The 26,163-nt window shown below is 39.8% G+C and overlaps 1 protein-coding gene across 4 annotated transcripts in view, besides 2 other annotated features; it reads right to left on the reverse strand.

Annotated features, from left to right (window-relative positions):
* The window catches only part of PAIP2B (poly(A) binding protein interacting protein 2B), a 44,366-nt gene extending 18,884 nt beyond the window's left edge, over positions 1-25,482 (reverse strand). Inside the window, exons 1-3 of one of the 4 annotated variants that reach the window (XM_005264310.5) lie at positions 24,734-24,795; positions 24,588-24,643; positions 831-979 (exon numbers count right to left, since the gene is read on the reverse strand). In XM_005264310.5, coding sequence (XP_005264367.1) covers positions 831-968 — 138 coding nt within the window. In that variant the 5' untranslated portion in view covers positions 969-979; positions 24,588-24,643; positions 24,734-24,795. Of the gene's footprint in view, positions 1-830; positions 980-24,587; positions 24,644-24,729; positions 24,796-25,306 lie in introns of those variants that run through there. The other 3 variants (NM_020459.1, XM_005264311.5, XM_011532842.4) reach the window with 3 other exon arrangements.
* Positions 24,912-25,412: an enhancer, noted in NCBI's record as "H3K4me1 hESC enhancer chr2:71453663-71454163 (GRCh37/hg19 assembly coordinates)". NCBI's record gives its function as "activates a minimal SCP1, AML or CMV promoter by ChIP-STARR-seq in primed H9 embryonic stem cells {active_cell/tissue: H9 hESC(primed)}" and the evidence as "EXISTENCE:reporter gene assay evidence [ECO:0000049][PMID:30033119]".
* Positions 25,628-25,767: an enhancer, noted in NCBI's record as "active region_16017". NCBI's record gives its function as "activates an Ori minimal core promoter by ATAC-STARR-seq in GM12878 lymphoblastoid cells {active_cell/tissue: GM12878}" and the evidence as "EXISTENCE:reporter gene assay evidence [ECO:0000049][PMID:35858748]".

Genomic DNA, 26,163 nt, shown 5'->3' on the forward strand with positions numbered 1-26,163 from the left:
CTGCCCACCTTGGCCTCCCAAAGTGCTGGGATTACAGGCATGAGCCACAATGCCTGGCCTTAAACTTCTTTTATGTCTTCATTTATTTTCAAAATGAAATGCAGAGTATCACATTTCCTATAAGCAAGTGAAAGCAACAAACTACAAAGTATAGAAAAACAACCTCACTACCATTCTGTTTTTTAGTGCTCCACTGTTCAAGCAATTAATTTCACATTGATCACTACAGAGAGTTATAGAACCACTGGGCTTCCTAGGATTAAAGGCAGAATCAGGGCAGGATAAAGGACCTCAGCTACCATGGTTTGGTACAAGGGTTTTATGTCAATCCTCTAAGATTGATAAGAGTCTTGTTTGATTTAAATTCTGGGAATATTCTAGAATGGTCTACAGTTGCTGAGAGAAATGTCATAAACAAATCTAGCCAGAACAAGGCTGAGGGCAGGGACCCTCTGCAGTAGTTACTGTGTAATGTGAACTACACTTAGAAGGCATATCAGAGTGTGGAGTATATGCAAATCTATTTGGTTAAACATGGGCTCTCACGTGAGGATGTTCAGATATCAACTAATTAGTCTGATATTTGTTTCCTCTTTTAATCAACATGGTAAGAAAAATATAAATATCTTCCTCCAAGGTACTATCACTCTGGTCTGTTACCAGATGAAGATGTTTCTTGGTCATTCCAGATGAGGCCCCCCACCAATGAATTTTTAAGTTATTCTAAAGCTAACTGTATCCATTTCTTTTGTAATAAACTGGCAGTAAAATATTATAGCTGTTGAGTTACATGTATCATCAATCTTCCACTTTTCCAGTTCTTTCTTTACCTGTCTGTTGAAATCCTCTTCATTCTCCATCCACATGTACTCTGCAAATGGGTTTTCCTTTTCATCGTGCCCACTTAACCCCTGGTCCTCTTTGGATTTTACACTCGGTGATGTATTTGCCATATTGGATCCATTCATTATGATGGAACCTAAAGAGAAGCAAAAGAAAAGATAAAATGAATATAAGGATAAAGGAAATGTAGAGACCTAAAACATGCAGATTCTGTCAGAAGCTTCTGAAATTCTAAGTCAAAGATTTTAACTATAGATAAACAGAAACTTAGTCTGTAACTCTTATAAAACCATCCACATCCTGCAGTTATCAACTAGACAGATGTACAATTATTTAAGAGTTAAAAGAAAAGATGTCTATTAACACTTAGGCTCACTTAGTCTTTCTAGGCAGGTGGGACAGGGGTGGGAGGGGTAGGAATCTTCCCATGCCAAATTTCTGTAGGTCCTGGAACCTAGTCAAGATCATTACAGCTTCCTTAACATTGAAACAGTGAAAATGCATTCTTAATGAACATTGTAAGCACCTACTCCTTATTCTAATTCTCAAGCTGTTTTTCTTTAAAATGTATTTTAAAAAATACATGTTTATCATATTGATAAGCAAAAAGGAAAAAACAAAAGCCACCTGTTGTCCAGCCATCCAGAGTTAAGAACAATTAACAATGTTGCGCATATAACCTTCCTGAATTCCCATATGTTTGTGTATACACAAACATACACACACATTTCCCAAGTATCCATTCTCAATAGTAATAGGATCATGTGATACAAGATGCCCCATCATTTGCTTTTTCTCATTCCTATGTTGTTTAATAACATAGCCATACCATCTTTTGGGGGTGTTTCCAATGTTTCTGTTTATAAAGGTTCTCCTTTATAAAGGTCTTCTTTTCTAATTATTTCTTTTTATCTCCTAGAAATAGAGCTGTTACATTGGAGAGTATGTTCTCTTTTCTAAGGCTCTTGGCATTGCCACACTACTATAAGAATTTAAATTCCCACCAGTGGTGTGGAAGTGCCCGTTTCCCAACATTCATGAGTACTATCATTTTCTAAACCATTGCCAATCTCATAAAACTTGCATTTTTTTACATTTCCTTAATTTTTACTGAGGCTGATTATCTTAAGATATGTTTACTGGCCATTTATATTTCTTATTCTGTAATTTTACTGCTAAAGTACTTTGCCCATTTTTCTATTGGGGTATATATCTTTTCCTTATCTTTTGTAAAAACATTTATTATATTTGTTATAATTTTTATTTTTTATAAAATAATTTAAATGAAAGTTTATAACTAAAATAAATATGTTATTCATTATATTTAATTTTTTATGGCAATTTTTGCCGGCCTTAAATTTTTCTAGCTCATATATATGTTTCTGTCTACAGCTTCGTAAAATTGTATGTACATAAAATTGTTTATTTTGGCTTCTAAACCCATTTTGATGTTTTTTGCTATCATTTAGAATACATCTTTTTCTGTTATTCATCTAAATCTTAACAATTCCTCAAAAATCATTCCAGTCTTCATTCACTACTTTCCTTCGCTATTTATTCACTGCTTCCCTTCTGTACTTAGTACAGCATTAACACTACTTAATTGTTGTTTGATATGCATAATTTTTCTCCTTCCAATTAGATTCTCAATTCCTGACAAGCAAGATTGAGTTTTATAGATTTTGTAACTCACCACAATATTATGAGTTCCATAAATACCTGAGGCTTAATTGTATTTAGGCAACTTTCCCTCTCTAACTCATCTCTCTTCAACCTTGACTCCATCTCTACCCCGACTCCCACCTTCCTTGGGGCTTCTTTAAGTTTCTATAACAAATTATTTCCCAGGGGTTGTTTCCATCTTGGCAACACTTGTGAATAAGTTATTTTCTGTTTCTGGATACAGTAAAATATTCTTTCTTAGTTCTCTTTAAAGGTTTTTTGTTTTTATTTTTTGTTTGTTTTGTTTTGCAATTTCCTAACCTGTTATGGATATTAGAAATGTAATATTCTAAAAAGACAAGGTAAAATTGTGAAGAGCAAAGAATAGATGGAAAAACAACTCAGTAGTACATAGTTCTAAAAGAATTCATTTAAAATAGAACCCATTTAAATCACTGTAGGTTTAAATAAGGCTACTAATATGAAATATATCTGCTTAACATATTTTAAATAGAAACAAAAGAAATCAATGTCTATTCCAAATACAGATCCATAATAATAATTTCATAAGCTATAGAGGGAAAGAAACCAGTTCTTTATTTTTACCACTTCCATCTGTAGCATAACAGTGATAGAAGCAAGTCTGTTCTAAATGCCAGGGCAACTGTATTTGCCCTGTAAGTAAGAGCACAGAGACTCTTAAAGGTCCTGAACCTTGCTGGGTAGCAAGATATACTGTACTATTATTTCCAAAGATTTGGCAGTTGTTTGCAACTAGCACACTGATTTCTCACCACCAATATGGAAAATCACTATAGAGAATCAGAAATCAGAGTTCAGTTTTTTTAAAAAAAATCTTCCTGTGCCCAAAAAGTAAGTCCTGAGTGTACATGATTGTAAGGCAAAAGAGAAAGGGAAGGCAAAGGAAGAAAGAAAGAAAAAAAAAACCCTTCTAATTCAAGAGCAAGGTGGAACACAGATAGCAAATTCCAGGATGTGCTTATTCATGAGAAAGGGAGTGGGGAATTACCATAAAATCTACAAAAACTGTTAATGAACTTAACGCAAATACTTCACAGAAGTTAAAAACACTGATATGGTATTGTCAATACTAGGCAAGTGATTCTCTTACAATATTATACAGTGTTGATTTGTATTTTGTACTATTCAACCTGTGTTTTCCACACAATTAGAAAGTTTGGTGTTTCCAAACAGCAGCATTCCAACAACTTAATTTTTATACTGTTTAAAAATTAATAAAGCACTTTCATACCCACACTTTAAGGCACATAGTTCAAGAACAACATTGTTTTGTGGGCCTACTGGGTGTGAGTGAACTGGTGCTTAATGTGCCCTGGCTTTACTAGCTAGGTGGCAATAGGGAGATTTTTGTTGGAGACTGGTAACTCCTAGGGAAGGCATTTGGATGTTTCCAACTTGGGGAAGACACAAGGGAAGACAGGATCATCACCCTTAACTTCCCTGAAGTTCCTGCTCCCAGTTTCATGTAACATTCTCTGTTTCCAGCTCTTCCCCAGCTCACGGTCCATGCTTGATCACTGTGTTTCTCTAGTCATTCCATTTCACCATTTCACATTCATTATTTCACTTGATCCTCATCCACACCAAGGATGAAAGTCTAGTGTAGTGAGGACAAAGAAAATATGCCCAAAGCTTCCAGAGATGGGAGGAATGCTTGGTTACATAAATCGGGTTAAGAGGCTGAATGGCTGCCATGTTGTGAGTTACATTACAGAGAGGCTCATGGGAGAGGAAATGAACCATCATGTAAGTGAGCTTAGAAGTGCATTTTCCTCCCAGTCAAGCCTTCAGATGAGATAGCAGCCCCAGATGACAGATTGACTGCAACTTTGTAAGAGTCTCAAGCACAGGCACCCTGCTAAGCTACTCCCAGATTCCTGATGCACAGAAATTATGAAATAATAAATATTAGTTGTTTTAACCTGCTAATCTTTGGGGAAAGTTGTCACCTAACAATAGCTTATACAGGTATTCAATAAACACTGGCAATTAACTCTGCCACACAAACCACTATGTCACAACATCTTTTTATCTATCAAGAAGACAAATGTGCAATTTGAAATAGGTCACTGCTTGAGAAGCAGTTCTTTAAGAATTAGACCTCAACAGTAGATAAAGGAGTTTGTGTCTGGTCTGTGACTATATTGCATCTTGAAACCTAAGAACAATTTGAAACTTATTTCCCCTTCACCCCACTTTCCCTCTTATACACATGTCAAACATGCTGAAAATAAGAAATAACAGTTGTCACTTTGGCTGAAAATGGGAAAGCTCACAACCCTGTTAATAGTCAATACAGGGGTGCTAAGGCCTGCCAAGCATTTGAGTTGGCACTATCATGGTCAAGGGTCAAGACATATTTGTGTCTAAAATATGTGGCTTGAAATAGGGACTTATGTTCCAAGTTAGAAAGAACTCCAGGACTTTTAATGTATCTAGGATATTTCAAGGATACATGCTTCATCAGTTTAACACTTTAAACACCCACAACTTTCAGATCCAACATGCTTATGCCAAAAACTAGCTATTCTTTGAACTTAAATAATATTTTTCAGAAGTTACATACCTGCAATGTGCCTATGATAACAGTTTGCTAAGATTACTTAGGACTTTTGACTGAATTACCTGGAAAAAGTCTACTGAACAACTGAAATAAAAACTACTCCCTCCTATTTTGTTTCCTACAGTTTCATTACTTCCTTCAGTCTGGTTAATACCATTTTAAAAAGTAAATATGGTGGATGACAGCTTTAAATTTTATTTCAAATATTCTGCCACATGATTCGGGTTTTGCTTTCTCTCAGCTACATCTTAACAACTAAGATCATTAAATCTATTCACTCATTAATATCTGAGTGCCTACTGACCCTCTGTGCTGAGGCACTGGGCTTGACTCTTGCTTTGATAGGGTACACAGCCCTTGCCCTGGTGATATTTACATTCTCTCAGGAGAGAGACAAGAAAATAGTTAAAAATAATGATCCATGCTATAAAAGGGACTATTAGAAAACAACAGGGGGCCCAATCTAGTCCAGGAGAGAGGGGGATGGTTCAGAAAGGTTTCCCTGAGCAAGAAACATTTTCATTGATACCTAAAGAATGTAAGCTTACTAGCAATAGGGAGGAGAGAGAAAATGACGTACAATGAATCAAAGGCAGGAGGGAATTTTCGGGAACTACAAGAAGGTAGGTACGTATATAGCCAGAGAATGACAAGGAAGAGAGATGAGGTTGGAGAGGCAGGTGGGGCCAGATCAGATCATTCAGGACCTTAAGAGACCACATGAAGGATTTTGGATTTCATCCTAAATAATAGAAGCCATTATAAGGAGTTCTGAAACTCCTTATAATGCACCGTAGCATGATTCGACATATTTTGAGATCACTCAGGCTGCCATGTGGAAAATGGATTGCAGAGACTGAGAGTTAATAATGAGAGACTGGTAAGGCAGCTATTGCTCCAATCCAGATGAAAAAAGGGTAGCTGCTTGAACTAAGATGATGGCAGTAAGAAGAAAGGAGGTAGACTCTAAAACTATTTTAGGAGGTTTTTGGTGATGAACTAGATGTGGGGAGTCAGAGTGAGGGAAATATCAAGGATAATTTTGGCACAAGCAACTGGGTGGATTGGTAATGTCATTCACTGAGCTAAGGAACTCTGTGGGAAGGGCAAACTTTTCTTGGGTGGTGATAGGGGCGTGGGGGTAAAAAAGGTGATGAGTTCTATTTTGGACATGTTAAATTTGCAATGCTTCTGAAACACTGAAATGGTGATGTTAAGTAGGTTGGCTGTATGCACCAAGAATAGGAGAAGTCTGCCTAAATATAGGAAGTTGGAGTAGTCGTTTATATAAATGGTAACTGAAGTCATAGGAATAGAAGATACTGCCTATGGAGAAAATGCAAAGTGAGATGAGAAGAGGGCCCATGACCCAGCACTGATGTGTGTGAATATTTTGAAAAGTCAGGTAGAAGCCGGGCACTGTGGCTCACACCTGTAATCCCAACACTTTGGGAGGCCGAGGGAGGTGGATCACTTGAGGTCAGGAGTTCGAGACCAGCCTGGCCAACATGGTGAAACCCCATCCCTACTAAAAATACAAAAATTAGCTGAATGTGGTGGTACATGCCAGTAATCCCAGCTACTCGGAGGCTGAGGCAGGAAAATCACTTGGACCTGGGAGATGGAGGTTGTAGTGAGCTGAGATCGCGCCATCGCACTCCAGACTGGGTGATGGAGCGAGACTCCATTTCACCCCCCCAAAAAAAAAAGTCAAGTAGAGGAGGAAGGCAACATGAAAAGGAAACTGAGAAGAACCCAGAGAGTTGAGAAGACAATCAGAAGAGTGTGACATCACAGAAATCAAGAAAATACCGAACCCAGTGTTCTGTATTTTCTTGATTTGGATTAAATGGTAGCCCCCCCAAAAATATGTCCATGTCCTAATCCATGGAATCTGTGAAGGCTACCTTATTTGGAAAAAAGGGTGTTTGTATATATAATTAAGGACCTTAAGATAAGGAGATCATCCTGAATTATTCAGATGGGCCCTCAATTCAATGATAGGTATATAAGAGAAAAGCAGAGGGAGATTTAACACACACACAGAAGAGGAGGAGGCAATGTGACCATGGAGGCAGAGATTGGAGTGGTGTGGCCACAAATCAAGGAATGCCTGCAGCCATCAGAATTTGGAAGAGGCAAAGAACAAATTCTCCCCTAGAGCCTCCAGAAGGAAAGTGGCCCTCCTGATGCCTTGACTTTGGACTTCTGGCCTCCAGAACTATGAGACAATAAATGTTGTTTTAAGATACCAGTTTGTGGTAATTTGTCACAGCAGCCACAGGGAATGAATCCAATTCCAGTAAAGTAGGAATACAGAAGGCTGCTGAAAGGTCAAGTAGGAAGAAGACTGAGAAGTGTCCACAGAATTCAGGACCATGGAGTCTCTGATGACCTTAATGAGAGCGGTTTCCACGGAAAAAATGAGAATGAAAGCCAAATGGAGGTAGGCTGAATCGTAGGTGATACCAAGTATGAGATAACTCAGAGTCCAGCTGCCAAGGGAAGAGGCAGGAACAGACAGAAACTGGAGGGGTATGAAGTCCACGGAAATGACATCTTTAAAGATTAGAAACTCTAATTCACATTTAAATGTTCATAGAAAGGGTCTAGTGGAGAGGGACAGGTTATACATACAGGAGGGAGAAAGTATAGTTGATAGTGTAGGTCCTGGGAAGGCAGAAGGGAATATTTATTTTCGAATAGCTAATACATTCCCACCATTCAAAATCCAAATGCCTGGGATGCTTAATTAGTAAAAGATGGTTGCATGGTGAACACGAAATCAGAGCAGTAGGAAAAGCATCAGGAGAAAGATTTTATCCATTACAAAGCCACATGAAACATCCTTACTCCATGGTAGGAAATTTCACTTCCCTGGTAGCAGGAATGCTTATACCCCCCAAGTGTAAGTTGGCCTGCCCAGACAGCTCCTGGATTAATGCATCAAACTCCAACTTTCTAACTTTCTAACTTTTTGTTTATTCTTTCAGTTTTTCACAGGGTCACACACATACACAAACACAAATAAACATTTTAAAGCTACATAAGCAATACAATAAATAATTTTATAAAGCCTTTTAAAATCACATAGAACTTTTTTTTTTTTTAAGATGGAGTCTCACTCTGTCGCCCCAGGCTGGAGTACAGTGGCGCGATCTCAGCTCACTGCAACCTCCACCTCCTGGGTTCAAGCGATTCTCCTGCCTCAGCCTCCTGAGTAGCTGGGACTACAGGTACGTGCCACTATGCCCAGCTAATTTTTTGTATTTTTAGTAGAGACAGGGTTTCACTGTGTTAGCCAGGATGGTCTCAATCTCCTGACCTCGTGATCTGCCCGCCTCAGCCTCCCAAAGTGCTGGGAATTACAGGCATGAGCCACCACTCCCAGCCAGAACATATTTTTATATACCATGTCATACTTTGCACTAAAATAATTTCTCTCCTTGTTTTACAAGATTTTCTTTTACTAAGTAAATAAACCCATCAGATTTTCTCCATTATTTGGTGAAGGATCAAAGGAAAAAAAGAGAAAGGGGGAGTAGTTCAGCTTTAGGTGGGGTGAGGAGACGTACGACATGTATATGAAAATTTTTTAAAAGGTTCCAGGTAAATTTCAAATTAGAATGATTTTGTCCCATGTACTTCCATTTCATTTATTTCCAGAGCAGCTGCATGGACATTAACAGAAAACAAATAAGTAGTCATTCTGCTAAGTTTTCCTATATTGACCTCAATGCACAAATGTTCCATTGGCTATCTTCCATTTGATGCAAGAACAGTGCTTGCAAATATAACGTCAGTGAGCTTAAGCAAACAGAAAATGGAACTTACCTGCAATTATAAGTTAACAAGAAGCTTTCAAAAACATATTAGTTGACAAGGAAGTCAGGAAAAAGAGGAAAATCACTTATGTGGTCCCTATATTTGTAAAATATATCAAAACAAAGGTAAATTACAAATAGAGGCATTTTCTAAATTAAACTCAAGGCTGCCAAATGAGAAAGACAATATAAATACAATACAACCTCTTTTTTATTAATGTTTAAAACTTGTCCTATACTGACCTATAAGTTTGCCCCACTGAGGAAATGGAATCTGAAAACTGGGATACAGATACTCTGGGAAGAATAATAAAACTGAACTTAATTACAGCAACAGTCTAGTCCCTGGACCAGACCCAAGAAAACAAAACAGAAGCATACTGAAATAGGATTAAGAATGCATTTAGCTGGCCAGGCGCAGTGGCTCATGCCTATAGTCCCAGCACTTTGGGAGGCCGAGGTGGGTGAATCACCTGAGGTCAGGAGTTCTAGACCAGCCTGGCCAACATGGTGAAACCCCGTCTCTACTAAAAATACAAAAATTAGCTGGGCGTGGTGGCAGGCGCCTGTAATCCCAGCTATTCGGGGAGGTAGGGGGTGAAGCGAGGCAGGATAATCGCTTGAACCCGGGAGGCAGAGGTTGCAGTGAGCCGAGATTGCACCATCACACTCCAGCCTAGGGGACAAAAGCAAGACTTGTCTCAAAAAAAAAAAAAGACTGCATTTAGCAAGTGGCAAGAAGGTCTATTCTAATTGAGCGGTTTTCAGTCTTAGGAGTATATAGAATCACCTGGAAGTTTTTCCACATCCATACTTTGCAGATATTCTGATTTGTTAGGCCTGAGCCAAGGCCCAATTTTTGTATTTCTGCTTGTTAATTTGCCATAGGTAATTCCGATATATAGAAAGACTAAAGACTTAAGAACAATTCCTCGAATATAGTGACAACCTCTACCTGGAATAGTCCAAATCCTAATTACCCTAATTCCTACACCAACAGTTCCCAAACTAGTGTTCTACAAACTACAGTCTTGTGAATGCTCTTTGAAAAAAAAAAAAAAAAATGGCCATGTGTAAATTCATTGTCCTGAGAAGTCCTGTTTAATTTACCAAGCATTTCCCAAATTTATGTATTAATTTGTTACCTTTATTACATATATTACATTTTTAACCTAGTAACTATTAACAATCCCAAACTTTTAGAAACAATGCCCCAAGGATGTTCTGTGATATTACTATCATTCTACTGGAAACGTACAGAACAGTCATAAAATGTACTCCACAAGGCATTTAAAGGCAGTTTCAAAGGTAGAATCAAAAGACTTGCCAAAAGTCAGTGGCAAGATCTCTAGACTCAGACCCACCTTTGAGTCCTCAAGTTCCAACTCCTTGCCCCAAAGCCAATCAATTGTCCTCCCAGAATAACATCAAATAGCAATTAGCATATGGTCCTTGACTTCTCCAGATCAGCTCCAAAAAGATATAGACTATTAATGGGGGAAATATTGTGAAGTCTTTAACAGACAACGTTAATCAAAAACATTCCTATGGGTAAATTATTATATATAAAAAACCTTTCTCACCAACAAGTGTCTCCATACATTTCAGACTGATGTGATGACAATTTGTTTTTTAAATGCATAATTATATCAAATAAATGCCACTATAAAAGCCTGAATACAATCTCCGAGCCTAAGGTCTTCCCCATCTTCACCTCCATCTCACATTTGATTGTATGTATATTTGAGAGAGCATCACTCATTACTTGTTTTGGGACTAGTCTATAACCTTGGAAGTTTCTTGAGGGCAAGAATCAAGTCCTTTACAGCTTCTAGCATGCCTCTGTGCACCCACCAGGTCCTTAATAAATAATCTGTTAACTGCCATTTTTAGAACGCTGTATTCTAAATCTCATTTCCTCAGCAGGAAGCCCATGCCCTTAGGGGTTAGGATCTGTAAGTGAGCACTCTTCGTTGAGTATGAACAGTTATTCCCCACAGTCAGTGACAGCACTACTCTGGAATCTGTTTTTGACAAATCAAGTTACTCAAGAGGGATTAAAAAACACTTACTTATATTTTTTTTAGAGATGGGATCCATGTTGCCCAGACTGGTCTTGAACTCCTGGACTCAAGTGATTCTCCTGCCTCAGCCTCCCAAAGTGCTGAGATAACAGGCATGAGCCACTATGCCCAGCCTATTTTTTAATTTTTATAGAGACAGGGTCTCACTCTGTAGACCAGGCTGGAGCTCAGTGGTGCAATCATAGCTTACTGCAGCACTGAACTCCCGGGCTGAGGCAATCCTCCTGCCTCAGCCTCCCAGGTAGCTAAGACTACAGGTGTACACCACCAGGCATGGCTAAATTTTTTTTTTTTTTAGAGAAGGGGTCTTGCTTGTTGCCCAGGCTGGTCTCAAACTCCTGGCTTCAAGCAATCCTCCTGCCTCCGCCTCCCAAAGTGCCAGATTACAGATGTGAGCCACTGTGCCTGGCCTGGGGAGCAGTGGGGAAAAACACTTCTAATCTAGAAAATTTTGTGTTCTTGTTTACTATTTTAGCATTAATAACACCAAATGACTATAACATTCTCTTTACGAGCTGTATAATAAGAATAAAAGCTTGCCACAGTGGAATTATCTAAACTAGAAGAAATTCATACAGTGAATCCCAACAAAAATCACAAAAAGGGATCACATGTTCATTTTCTTTGACATATTTCTGGAAATAAAGGTTTGCCACAACAAAGTGGGGAGAGGGGAGCCAAGCAGCATAATACATCTGTAATGAGGTAGAGAAAACAGTATCCACTAGAAATCTTTTCAGGAAGGGTGCCATTTTGGGTTGGAAAAGCTCTTTGAAAGTTAATCTGGGGGAGAAAGAGGGTCCTTGAGGGACGAGGGTAAGGTCAGAACATTTCTTGGGAGAAAGGGGAACATTAATCTGGCTAATGAGGGCACAGTGCTAGACAGAGTGAAGAAGAAAAAGTCGAGTCGTACATTCAGAGTATGAAAGGCCTCACACTGTGTAAAATGGACTACAACTTAAGACTTCCAATTTTCAGTAAGACTATTAGGCCCATATAAAATTCAGGAGTCTGTGGATTTTTTGGTGTGGAAACCACTCAAGAGGCAGATTTTATGTCTAAATTGCAACGGTGAGACTTAAGTATGAATTGGGAATTATGTCCCAATTTATGAATTGGGAAAGCATTTAAGACAAGTTTCTCCAGGCCTTTAAAGGAATGAGAACCCCACTGGACAATTAAGTTACATAGAAAAAACAACTATCGTAATCTATCCAAATACAAGGGGGAAAGGACAGCAACAAAATAATAGCTCTTCTAAGTACTTCGGTAACAGTCTCTCTTTTAATCTTCATAACAATCCCACAAGGCAGGGACTGTTAGTCTCCCAGTTGTTTTCATACAAATACTCCACCTTTCATTTATTTATTAAAAAAAATTTTTTTAGAGACAGGTCTCACTATGATGTCCAGACTGGACTTGAACTTCTAGGCTCAAGTGATCCTCCCACCTCATCCTCTCAAGTGGCTAGGATTACAGGTATGAGCCATCAGAGATTTATTCAACACCTTGCCTAAAGTATAACCTAGTAGTACTAGAATTAGTGCTTAAGCTTAGGTCTTTCTGGTCCCAAAGCCCATGCTCTTAACCACTTCCATGTAGTGACTACCCCATACTCACACTTCCCACTTTAGGTCCAGAAAGGCTATAATAGAAAACTCTGATTTGATCTCAAATATTAAAAATGGGGTTCGGAGAACCATGCTGAAGAAAAATGCTATTCAACAAAAGTACTGAGGTCTTTGGAAGGAAAACACAAACCAATCACAGCACATGGTGGTTTATTTAAATCAAAATAAATTACATTCCCTACCATGAACATATGAAGCTCCATTTAATTTGAAGCTTGCTAATACTTTTAGGATGAGAAACCAAACCTCCAAATAGGTCTACAATCCATTATGTACAATTCTAATATCCAAACAGCTCTAAAAACCAAGAATTTTTCATATGTTTTATGTCAAAACTTGCAGGACAGTAAAATTTGGCCTGAACTGATATGAAGCTATATACAGCCTTTATCTACCCACTTAGTGTGAATACTCCTGTTTTGCTCAGAAATATTAATGTATCGGGTGACTAAGGATGCTGCATCAGACACACTGAGGCATTCGTAACAGAGAAAGCATCTTCCTAAACCTGAAAAATTCTGAATTCTGAGAGTTGTCTAGTTCCAAGGGCTTTGGACCCTCTATGAACCTGTATTCCAAATAATTTAAAAAACAGTTTCCAAGGATGATTAGATCAGAGACACTCAGTATTTAGGATTTCATAAACCAGGAGATTTTAAAAAATATTGAGGACAATATAGGATTCCAAATTAAAAAACATACAAAGATGGTAAAAACATCCTTATCAACATCATTCTATAAAAGGATATTTTAGCACCAAAAAAACAAAAGAAGGTCTTAATTCAATGCAAAAGACAATTCTTTAAACTGAATGAATTTAATGTTACAAAAAATACTATGTGGTCCTTATACTTCTTATTTCACAATAAGCTGGTGAAAATTCACCTGGGACTGGCACTGATCTGATCTGAGGCATACAGTCCAGGAGCCTATATAAAATTACCTGGGAAAGTTATTAAAAAATGCAGACACAACCAAGATCGTGCCACCGTACTCCAGCCTAGGTGACAGAGCGAGACTTCGTCTCAAAAAAAAAAAGAAAAAATGCAGACTCCCCCCAGCCTCCCAAAAAGGTCCATCCTAGGAGATCACAATTCAGATGGTCTAAAGGTGAGGCGCAAAATCTGTGTCGTTTTCTAGAAAACAGTCTGGGTTGTTTTTGATGTGCAGCCAGGCTTCAGAGCCACCAGTTTAATCTGTGGGTTCTAGTTCTACCCTTCTTCACTCAAACTCTTCTCTGAGGGGTAAGGGGAGAAAAACAGGAATGTTTCCAAGTAAGGAATCTGCCTAACCCACTGTTTGTAATACTAGTTATTCCTTCAAACAGTCTAGGCTGAACCAGCTGGTCAACTGAGACTATTAGCCGTGGAACGATAGAAATTAGAGTTGACAAGCAAGAAAAACTTGTTAAAGCAAAACTCCTCTATGAAAAGGTGTGGCTTCCACAGTTTCTTTTCTCTTCAACGCAAAGATTCTACATATGATGCCTAAGTTCAGCACAGATATCTTTGTCTGTGCTGACAATAATAACAATAAATAAAACTTTAAAAAATATATTTGTGTGTACTTTATATATCTGTGTATCTATGTGTGTGTGTATCTATGTGTTCCTTTGAAGCTGTCTTCATTATCCAGCTTCTATGCCAGGTCTTTGATTTTGGCCTTGATTTTTCATCTTCAAATGGAGTACAAGAATTACCAGTATTACCTCAGTTGAGGTACAAATCCTATAAAAATGGAAAACCCATAGCATGCTTGATGATTAATGAAGGAGACTATATTATCCAACATTCCAATAAGATAAAATAATCATAGTGATTTTTCTTTTTTGGAAAAAGTTTCTCTTATTCTCCTACATTACTGTTTAAAATAATCTCAAGATACATGTCTAATATCTTTAAAAACACACAAAGGTTTCGATTTAATAAGCACTCAAAGCTCTTTACCAGTTTTAAAAAATACAAGGCCCTTCTAAAGGCTAAATGCTAAGTGATGGGGGAGAGAAGAAGGACATAAATAACTCTTACTTTCATGGGGTTAATCACTAAATCCTATTTGCCTAGAATCTCCTGGCCTCTCTAAGCCTTGCAAATGAAATGGAGTTTCTCACTAGATACTTGGCTATGACTTCCAATCATAAAAAACCAAGAATTGTGTTATGTCACTGTGTATTGCTTGTAACCTGAACTCCACACTAGGCTGGGATCAAGGGTTGAATCTGTCATGATTTGCTCCATAACCTGTATGTTTCTCATCCCAGACCAAAGAGCTTTCTTCTAGAGTTCTACAATTTTTAGTATACAAGAATGGTTCTCAAAAATGTAGTCTCTGGACCAGCAGCATCAGAATCACCTGAGAACTTGTTATAAATGCGAATTCTCAGGCCCCACCCTAGACCTGATGAATCAGAAACTCTGGAATAGGGCCCAGCAATCTGTGTTGCAATAAGCCCTCCAGGTGTTCAAGAACCTCTGGCATATAGCACTTAGAAAAATGTGTTTCTTTCTGTAGGCCCAAAGCCAGGGATACTGTATGTTCTATCTTGATATGAAATAATGACATCCAATTAAAAGACATATATCTCCTTTCTACTCTCACCCTCCATCCAATGTATTTTATTTTTATGAGTTAAATAAGAACAAATGGCAATCAGAGACTTAGTCTAAAAAGTATATTTACAGGTGTCAGTTCTCATCCAGACTGCTCTGATACAAAACCATTTACATCCTCTTACATCTAAAGTTTTAGAAAAGGATCTTCACAATGTAAGTCTCAGGCACACTAGGAGTTCTATAATAAAATACCAAGTAGCTCTGAATGTCCAAACTTACTAAGAGAAGAAAAGTGGAATTATTGGCTATATATATATATTTTAATTTTTTTGAGACGGAGTCTCACTGTCGTCTAGGCTGGAGTGCAGTGGCATGATCTTGGCTCACTGCAACCTCCGCCTCCCAGGTTCAAGTGATTCTCCTGCCTCAGCCTCCCGAGTAGCTGGGATTACAGGAGTCCACCACCACGGCCCAGCTAATTTTTCTATTTTTAGTAGAGACAAGGTTTCACCATTTCACCATGTTGGTCAGGCTGGTCTCAAACTCCTGACCTCAGGTGATCCACCCACCTGGGCCTCCCACAGTGCTGGGGTTACAGGTGTGAGCCACCAAGCCCAGCCTATATTTTTGGATTGCATTCTACAGGAAATTAAACTTTTGAATTTTTTCACCTTCATACTTCCAAGTTAATAGAATTAAACCAGAATACTCCATTCTTTCAAAGCCTCTACCCAGGCAAAGTTTTACTGTATTGCTTCTTGCTTTCAATGGACATGAGGCAGAGTCCTGGTAGGCACATTGTGTTACCTGCAAAGATGCAGAACTAAACAGTTCCATCTGTTCAATATTAAAAACAAAAGTCCTCAAACCTCAGATGGTGAGGGTAATACCTCAGTACTAGCAATAAAGCCTCAAATATGAAAAGATACCAAGAACACCACTAGCAAACAAAAGTAAGCTCTCGGCTGGGAGCAGAAGCTCATGCCTACAATCCCAGCACTTTGGCAAGCCAAGGGGGGAGATTACTTGAAGTCGGGAATTCAGGACCAGCCTGGGCAGCATAGCGAATTCTTATCTCTACAAAAAATTTTTCAAATCTGCTGGGCGTGGTGGTATATACCTGTAGTCCTAGCTACCTGGGAGGCTGAGGCGGGAAAATCACTTGAGCCCACGAGTTTGAGGCTGCAGGAGCTATGATCATGCCACTGCACTCCAGCCTGGGTGACAGACCAAGACCTAGATAATTACATTCTGCCCTACTCCTGTTTACACTAAAATCACTAAGTTAAAATGCTTTCATTCAGCCCAATAAAAATAAAGTGAAATGTGACTTTGGAGCTTGGCTAGCAAAAAAAGAAAGAAAAAATAAAGCAAAATGACAAATTACTTACTGGGAGACAGTTTTGGTAACCTCAATGACAGATAAAAGGTTTGTATCCCTAGCCTATAAAGAAATCTTTAAAATTACTCAGAAAAAGAAAAATGATAAAAAAGATAAAATTATTTTATAATTTTATAAAATTACTCAGAAAAAAACAAATAATGGAGAAATAAGGCACTTCCCACAAGAATAAAAATGGCCAATAAGCATATTAAAAAGACTCAAAAGCACTAGAAATTAAAGAAAATGTAATTAAAACAATGAGATTTTCTGCTTAAAGACGAGCAAAGATGACAAATGGAAGGGCGAAACTGGAACTCTGTCACTGTTGGTGGGAGTATACACTGAACCCATTTTCCTGCAGGATAATTTGAAAATTTCTATTAAAAACCCTAAAACTGTTTTTTTGTTATTTTCCTCCAGAAATTCTACTTCTATGAATTCCGTCCAAAAATGCTTGCTCAAGTCCATTAAAATGTATATATAAGGAAATTCACCTCTGGAGTGGCAATGATTCACTTAATATATAGCCAGCTATTAAAAATGATGATGCCAGGATATATTTACTGCCACAGAAACATGCCCAAAATATAATGTGACAAAAGACTATATTTTATGATTCTACTTTTAAAAATGTTTATATGCATAAAAAAGTATAAAAAGCAGCAAACCAGAATGTTTTGAGTGGCAGAATTAAAGGTTTTTCTTTTTTTTTCTTTTTTTTTTTTTTGAGATGGAGTCTCACTCTGTCACCTAGGCTGGAGTGCAATGGCGCGATCTTGGCTCACTGCAAGCTCCGCCTCCTGGGTTCACACCATTCTCCTGCCTCAGCCTCCCGAGTAGCTGGGACTACAGGTGCCCGCCACCACGCCTAGCTAATTTTTTTTTTTTTTTTTTTTTGTATTTTTAGTAGAGACGGGGTTTCACGGTGTTAGCCAGGATGGTCTCAATCTCCTGACCTTGTGATCCACCCACCTTGGCCTCCCAAAGTGCTGGGATTACAGGCGTGAGCCACCGCGCCCAGCCTAAGGGTTTTTCTTTATATTTTGTTAAATTATTGTAAAAAGAATGTGATTTCCTTTATAATCAGGGATAAGTGTTATTTTCATTTATTTTTACATTTCTTTTCTTTTTCTTATTTTTCTCATGTATGTACCCCATGTAGGCTAGAGAGCTTGACTCCTTGCCTCTTGAGGTGAATCAGCCCATTTTCGGGATGTGCACTACACAAAGCTGCCCCATATTCCTTTTATTTTACAAGTTCTGGAAACATTTTTGTTTTAAATTGTTTTACTCTTCTCATTTTTTAAAATATATGAAATTGAGGAAAAGACAAAGGAAAGGCTGATTCCCCACCTTCCTGGGGCTACTCTTCCAATTTTTGCTGCTATTGCTATGTATTAATATTCTCTGGGTACTAAAAAGATGGGCAGCCCCATAGAACCTTTTTTCTTATCTCGTTCTCATAATCCCACTTCATTCCTTCATTCACTTATTTTTAAAAGGGTAATGTGCGCAAATACATAGTTCAAAAATATTTAAAATATAACTATCTATAAATGTATGTGGCAAAATCCCATTCATAGTCCTATTCTCCCTCCACAGCCAAACACTTTTAATTGGTTTCTTATTATCATTTCAGAAGTTATCTCTGCAAACACACGTATATTCTTACTCTACTCTTCTCTCTCAACACAAAAAGTAGCATACCATATACACTATGCCATCCATATACCATTCCTTGTTCCTTTTTTAAAAACACACACAATATCTAGTTCTTCCACATGAGTACATAGGTCTTTCTCATTCTTCTTTACAACTACACAGTATTCCATCATTTGGATGTACCATAGTTTACTTAACCAGTTCCCTGATGGCAGGCACTGAAGTCATCCCTATCATACTAGCACAAACAATGATGCCAAGCATAACCACCTACACACACCAAATTCATTTCCGAAGGTGCCTCTCATGAGGCCTCTATTTAAATTACTGCAAGCCCACATGGTCACTAGGCTGAAATATTAGCCCCTTTTTCAGTTTTCATTATGTACAGCAGCACGTAACAAAAGATTCCCTTGGACAAAGCAAATGTACTCTTTGGGGATTTATTTCATAAAAATAAAGGGATAAACAGAACAGCTAGGATGAACCATTTCTATTTAACCATGCATATGTATGTATACAATACATGTATATGCATAGAAAGTATACAATAAACCCATCAAAGCACTAACCACTGTCTCAGTATGGTGGATCTGTGGAGTGCTTTGTAGTCCCCTGCTCCTTGCCAATCAATTATTTCTAATTTCACAACAGTGAATATGTACTATTTCTGCAATATAAAATGTTTAAAAATGTTAACTCAAATTAAGGTGGATAAATTCCTTCAGTCTGTCCTATATTTGTATAGTGCTCCAGAGTGCTCAAATATCACTTCGTTTTTAAAAAATATTTGTTTATTTTTTCAAATATAGAGACAGGGTCTTGCTCTGTTGACCAGGCTGGTCTTGAACTCCTGGATTCTCCCACCTCTGCCTCCCAAAGTGCTGGTATTACAGGCGTGAGCCATCATCACACCCGGCCAGCTTCATTTGAGAAATCTTTCCCCAGCACTCCATATATTACTAATTATTCCTTTCTTCTTGTTTAGATAGCATTTTTGTTATACCTCTATTACCTCACTTGTCACATGATAATCAGCTGCTCACCCATCTGTCTCCCTTGATTGCTCATGAGCTCCTTGAGAAGAAGTCTCATTTTCAGGACCTTGAACAGTGTGCAACACATGTATGCTTCACAGGCAGAGAAGAAGTAAATGATTTCACTACAGTGTAATCATTCCCAGAATTCAATTACCTGTATTTCTAAATTGTTCTAGACACTCTGCCAACAACCTGAGAATGTTATACTCTTTCCCTAAAACTTCCATCCATTACTGAGTATCTATGGTCATAGCTAACTCAATTGTGACATGCCCTCTGGCCAAGCCCATTCATAGTTTTTCCTCTAGATGATTTTTAATTTTTGTTTTTATTTGTTCTTTGTATTTTTAATACAAACAGCACATAAGTAAACTTCACCATCTCTATATCTCTGTGCCTTTGCACCTGCTAGTCTCGGTTTGGAATGATGTCTGAAGGTTTTATTCACCTGGAAAGCATTCCTACTCACCCTTAAAGATATCAGCTTAAATAATACCTTCTCTGGGAAGCCTTTCTATCCTCCCATTCTCTCAGGAAGAGTTCAGAATTTCTACAGTTGAAACTGTAGACCCTGCCCTCACAGAGCTCACGGTCTAGTATGAAAAACAGCCATATGAACAAATAACCACACTATAATACTAAATGCAATACCAAAAGGGAGATGTATTGAATATTTGACATGTGTCAATTACCTTGTTAGATTCTTTATTAATAATTATCTATGATTATATTAGGTAAGTATTTGAATTGGACAAAAGGCCATGAAACTCTAGAACTGTTATACTCTCAATCGTCTTCTAAAGAAACTCTCCAAAGGGTTCTTTTAAAATATGCTATAGTCATACTGAGAGGTGAGGACAGCTGGATTTCCTGGGTCGAGTGGGGACTTGGGGAACTTTCCTCTTACAAGAGGATTGTAAAATGCACCAGTCAGCGCTCTGCAAAATGCGCCAATCAGCGCTCTGTAAAATGCACCAATCAGCAGGACCCTAAAAGTAGCCAATCGCAGGGAGGATTGAAAAAAGGGCACTCTTGATAGCCCAGAAACGGAACATGGGAGGGGACAAATAAGGGAATAAAAGCTGGCCACCTGAGCCCACAGCAGCAACCTGCTGGGGTCCCCTTCCAGGCTGTGGAAGCTTTGTTCTTTCACTCTTCACAATATACCTTGCTACCGCTCACTCTTTGGGTCCGTACCATCTTTAAGAGCTGTAACACTCACCACGAAGGTCTGGGGCTCCATTCTTGAAGTCAGTGAGACCGTGAACCCACAGGCAGGAACCAACTCCAGACACAATACAACTATTGTGTGACTGTGGCATACACAAAAAAGCATATCTGTAGCATATCTGTGTGACTGGTAATGCATAAAACCAACCTTACTTCTGTGGCCACAAGTGACTGGACCAGGGCTCAGTGCTTCAGCTGAGGACGGCATATAGGCTGAACTTCAGGGAGATCAATCACCAAGGACATGATGGCACAGCTCAAAATTCTCTCTAGTAGGGGCCTTCTGTTTTTAGAAGGTGACAGACTAATCCAATCAGATATTCTCTCTTGGAAAATACAAATGTTGAGTGAACAAAGCAAAAGAGGGCAGGTCTTCAGAGCTCAAATACTAAATACTGCTAAATTAATGTTCTGTGAAGTTTTGAAAGTACTAGGGCCAAGAGACAATATGGCTGCTTAGATGACTTTCCATCCAAGTTTACATTCAGCCCTCATCACCAAAGCTGATATGTGTGTGCCTCTTTCTTGCAACCCACCAGGGACTAACACATCATATACCACTTTTGGAATTAGGAAACAGGCTCAGAAGTCCAAGAGCTTGACCAAAGGAACTCAGTTGGTAGGTAGCAGAACCAGAATTCAAAGACCCAGGTCAGCATGATTCTTCTATAATATCCTGCCACTTACATGGGCAAGTGGCCTCAAAATCAACAAAAGACAAGTAGAGGTTGACATGTGACAATGGAGAGAGGCTCAAAAGGAAGTTTGTACACAAAAATACAAAAGGAAATGTTCTGGAAGTATGTCTGGGGATGTGAAGTAGGAGCAGGCACACCAGGTTTACCTTGGTCAAGTGAATCTATAATTCCAACCTGGGCCTTTCCCCAGAGCTCCTGACTTAGCTCTTATCTGTCTTTCTTAGGCAAATATAAAATCCACAGGGCAGGACCTTAATCTCCAGCTTGTTCACCACAGATTAAAGCAGAGTTTGAGGCTGGATGCAGAGGCTCACGCCTGTAATCCCAGCACTCGGGGAGGCCAAGATGGGTGGATTCCCTGAGGTCAGAATATCGAGACCAGCCTGGCCAACATGGTGAAACCCTGTTTCTACTAAAAATACAAAAATTCGTTGGGTGTGGTGGTGTGAGCCTATAATCCCAGCTACTTGGAGTCTGAGGCAGGAGGATTGCTTGACCCAGGATGCAGAGGTTGCAGTGAGCTGAAATCGTGCCATTGCACTCCAGCCTGGGTGACAAGAGCGAAACTCCATCTCAAAAACAAACAAACAAACAAAAACACAGACTTTTTTTTTTTTTTTGAAATGGAGTCTCACTCTGTCACCCAGGCTGGAGTGCAGTGGCACGATTCGGCTCACTGCAACCTCCACCTCTTGGGTTCAATAAATTCTCTGCCTCAGCCTCCTGAATAGCTGGGACTACAGGCTCCTGCCACCATGCCTGGCTAATTTTTTTGTATTTTTAGTAGAGACAGGGTTCCACCATCCTGGACAGGTTGGTATTGAACTCCTGACCTCGTGATCCACCTGCCTCAGCCTCCCAAAGTGCTGGGATTACAGGCATGAACCACCACGCTCAGCCGAGTCTGACTTATGGTAAGTGCTTAATATATGATAAATGAACAAACTGAATGAATGAATATATGATAACTGAATAAATTTATGAATAAATGTACAAACTATCAAATAAGCTAAAGAAATAGTCCACATTGTTGGGGAAAGGGGTTACCATGAAACAGACCCTAGCAGTCACTTACAAATACAGTTCATCTTCATTATTTGTGGATCCCATATTTGCAAATTTGCTTACTTGCTAAAATGTCTTTGTAATCCCCAAATACTTGTGGAGCTTTCAAGGTGACTTATGGATATACACATAGTAGTGAAAAATATGTCACTCCTTGCCCAAGTCCCAAGGTGACCCTCAGCCTTGTCTCAGCCCTCATACAAAGATGACCAGAGGACAGAGACAGCAGAGGGCAGTGCAGCGTAGTGCAAGAAGCTCTGGCTCTGGGGCCATCTGGACGAGTCTGAATCTTAACTCTGGCACCTGTTAGTAGAGAGGCCTCAGGCAAATCGCTTAACACTTCTGTACTTCCTTTATTTTTTGTAAGTAAGGAAAATTCAATCTACCAGGATGAGTTGTTTTTAGGAATTAATTTTGTAATCTGTGTGAGATATGTATATATGTATATATTTTCCCTGGGAACAAGGGTTGAATATTTGATAATTCAGTGTTCTTGGCAACTTTATAGAATATAACTACTGCAAATAATGAGAATTGACTATAATTATTTATAAAGAAATAACAGAGAAGTAGGCAAAACATTTGGATGAGGCAGAGGCAGGCTTCAAGATTTTGAAGAAACAGAATTTCACCAAGCACATAAGGTGTGGAAAAGGCTTGCAAGGAGAGAGAATGGTGCATACAGAGAGAGGTCCAGATGGTGGAAAAAAACAGGTAGGTTCAGGAAATGGCACTTCAGGAAGTCTAGAGCAGTAGGAGATGAGATCAGAACACAGTGCCATCGTGCTTCTCTGCACCCTGTATATACCTTCTACTGCAGAACCTCACTCTCTGCATTTAATTATTGGTTTCTAGTTCTCTCTTCCATTAAACTGTGAGCTCCTCAAGGTCTCTAAGAAGAAATCATAGCTAGAGTCCTCTAAATTTGCAAACAAGTTATTATTAAACACAAATACTCCCAAAAAAGACTGCACAAAAATAACTTTGGTTTTCAGCTGCAGTCACAGCAATTCACAACTGTTACAGATTTGCAATTTGTCCAGGATTTTTCTCTGATGACTGCTGTAACTCTGTCATAAACTCTTTTCCTTGTTTTAGACACCCAGACATTTGTTGGAACAGTTTTAAGATCTTACTCTTTTTAGTGTAATTGATTGATTGGTTGATTGACTGAGATGGGGTCTCACTATGTTGCCCAGGCTTGTCTTAAACTCCTAGGTTCAAGCAATCCTCCTGCCTCAGCCTCCTAAGTGGCTGGGATTACAGGCACACACCACTGTGCTAGGCTCTAGTGTGATTTATTAACAAGGCTTAAACATATGGTCCATTAGACAAGGCTGCCACCTCAGAGTAAAGATTTCTTTTAATTCACTATAATAGACTTTTTTCTTTATATACAAGATACAATTTTACCACAGTAAAATACAAGGAAGCATACTGATACATACATTACAAACAGGATAAAGAAAGCAATATAATTTTTTCCACAAAAGCTTGCAAAATCCTGGCCAAAACACAGTGAACATGATGTTAAACTCATAGCTTACATTTCTCCACTGAAAGCTAGGAAAAACAATTCCAATTTTTGAAAAGTCAGGAAACTAAGCACTGTGAGAATTTACAAGATTTTGTAAACCTGTATATTCTCCCCACCCCGATATACAAGTAGCCAGAGGAGCCTATCAGTCTTACCCCAACACTTCAATCTCCTCCAACCTTCAAAATAAAACCCTCACTGTCCAATATCTGAATTTATATTTTCAAACGTCTAAAATCTTAATCAAAGCTAAGAGCAGTGCATTAGCTTTTCCCCATAAAATTGTTGGCATAATTTTACTTAGGCACAGCATAGTTTGTACTGTTATCAAAAAACATATGGCTAGAACCGACATTACTAGAAACCAAACGAATATACTATGAAGGTGAAAAGGGAACAGGGAATGTTGTTTTTGGACAGATTCAATGCTGTTATTATCCCTTCATAGGTTGGGTGTGATCGAATCACACTGTGCTGTACAACTAAGTATGTTCTATATTTTATGACAAAGTAGGGTAGCCAGGCCCTTACACTACAAACTCCCAGAAACCCCAGTTAAGCTGTTTAAAGTATAATCCAATTCAATTTACTGAAAATAATAGTAACAAAATTTAAATCCCTTGCTTCTAGTTAGCCCTTTTCAACTGCATTTTCAGCAATTACCACCAAAAGAACTGCATTAGGACAAAGATTCTAGAGCGGGTATAATGGTCAAATGCCATTTGAAGGCAAAAACAGTCTACCAGGAACAAAACATTAAAGTTCCCAACCTTGCCAAACTCCCTGTTCTGCGTATTCTGCCTCTCTCAGTTCACCTTCCAGCTGCCTGGAAGAGGCAAGTGGAAAATGTTAGTTTTCTGGAGAGATGAGAATGGAATTTAGGGGTTGGTAGGGGGTGATGGGCTCACTCACGGACCGCAAGGCACAAGAGAAGTGGCGAACGTCTCCCAGGCAAATGAGGCATGAAGAATGAGGGCTGGAGTCAAGGGGGAGATGGAGCAAGTATAAAAAGGCAGAGGACGCGCAGGGGCCGCGAATAGGGGAAGGGCACGACGCGCAATCCCTCCCGCTCCAGCCCGGGGAGAGGGGCGGGGGATGCCGCGCGGGTCAATTTGCCTAGCATTGTTGCACCTGGGTAGAAATGGGACTCAGGCCAAGAATTCGGTTCGAGTGTTAGGAGGACGCTGAGGGGAGTCAGGAACTTGGGTGGGAGTCGGGGGGAAACAGAGCACCTGTGCGGGGGGGAAAGGGACGAAAACCCCCTATTGCTCCCGAGGGGCAGGGGCTGACCCCAGCGGACGCCCCTTTTCGCCGATGGCCGCGACGTGGGACCCCGCGCGCTTTCCCTCCCTACAGGAGCTCGGGCAGGCGCGTGCCGCCCTTCACAGCCCCGACGGCGGCAGAAAGGGAGGCGCAGGGCGCCCCCAGAGCCGGGAGAACGGCGTTTCCCTCGAGTCCTTTCCCCAGCAGCCCGGGCACCCGAGCCCACCTGGGCTAACCAGAAGCCCCTCCTTCAGATCGTACTCTGCCACTCCTCCGAGAGCTTAAGCCGTTGCCGTAGAGGTCGCCGTCGCCACAACAGTCTCGGCCTTTAGTACCAAAACGTGAAGCACAGCACCCGAGAAGCGCCACTACCACTTGCCAGGTTATCTCTTACTGCACACTGCCTCCTCGCCCCGCCCCCGAACCCAAGCCATTGGTTGCCGGGCACCGCCCCATTCGTCTATTGGGCCAAAGAAGATGCCGTTCGGTCACCTAGAATGGCATATGTGGTTTTTATTGGTCTAAATGTGAAGCAGTGCCCGCCCACTCCCTCAGAAGTTTCAGCTTCTGATTGGTTTTAATGTCTGTCTTTTCTCTTCCTTCATTTTTTTTTTCCTGTGGTGGAACACCTCCTTGAGGGAGATGCCGGCTCTGATTGGCTGAAAGGACGCTACGCTAGCCTGGGATAGGCATTGGGCCAAGGATGCGCCCGGCCCACTCGTGGGGGAGGAGACCAAGGCGCCGCACTCTGGGTTTGTTTACACAGGCTCTTGCTCCCGCTTCGTCTATTGGCTGAGCTGGAAGCCACTGCCACCGAGTTTTGCCTGTCAGCCTAGCAAGGAGGAGGGTGGGGGTGGGCCTCAGTAGGATTTCCCTCAGCTGTCAATTACCAAAGGAGGAGCTTTGATTCAGGCTGCTTTGGACCTGGTGCTATTCTCTGTAGGGAAAATTAAGGAATTGGGCTCCTTGGGAGGCTGGAAGGAAGCAAAGGGACGCTGGAAGGAAGCAGACGGATGCTTCCACGTTTCTAGAAACAAACCTAACTTCTTGAGTGCTTTAAAAAAATAAAACTTGGCCGGGCGC

The sequence above is a fragment of the Homo sapiens genome, chromosome 2, assembly GCF_000001405.40.
Source record: "Homo sapiens chromosome 2, GRCh38.p14 Primary Assembly".
NCBI classification, from domain to species: Eukaryota; Metazoa; Chordata; class Mammalia; order Primates; family Hominidae; genus Homo; species Homo sapiens.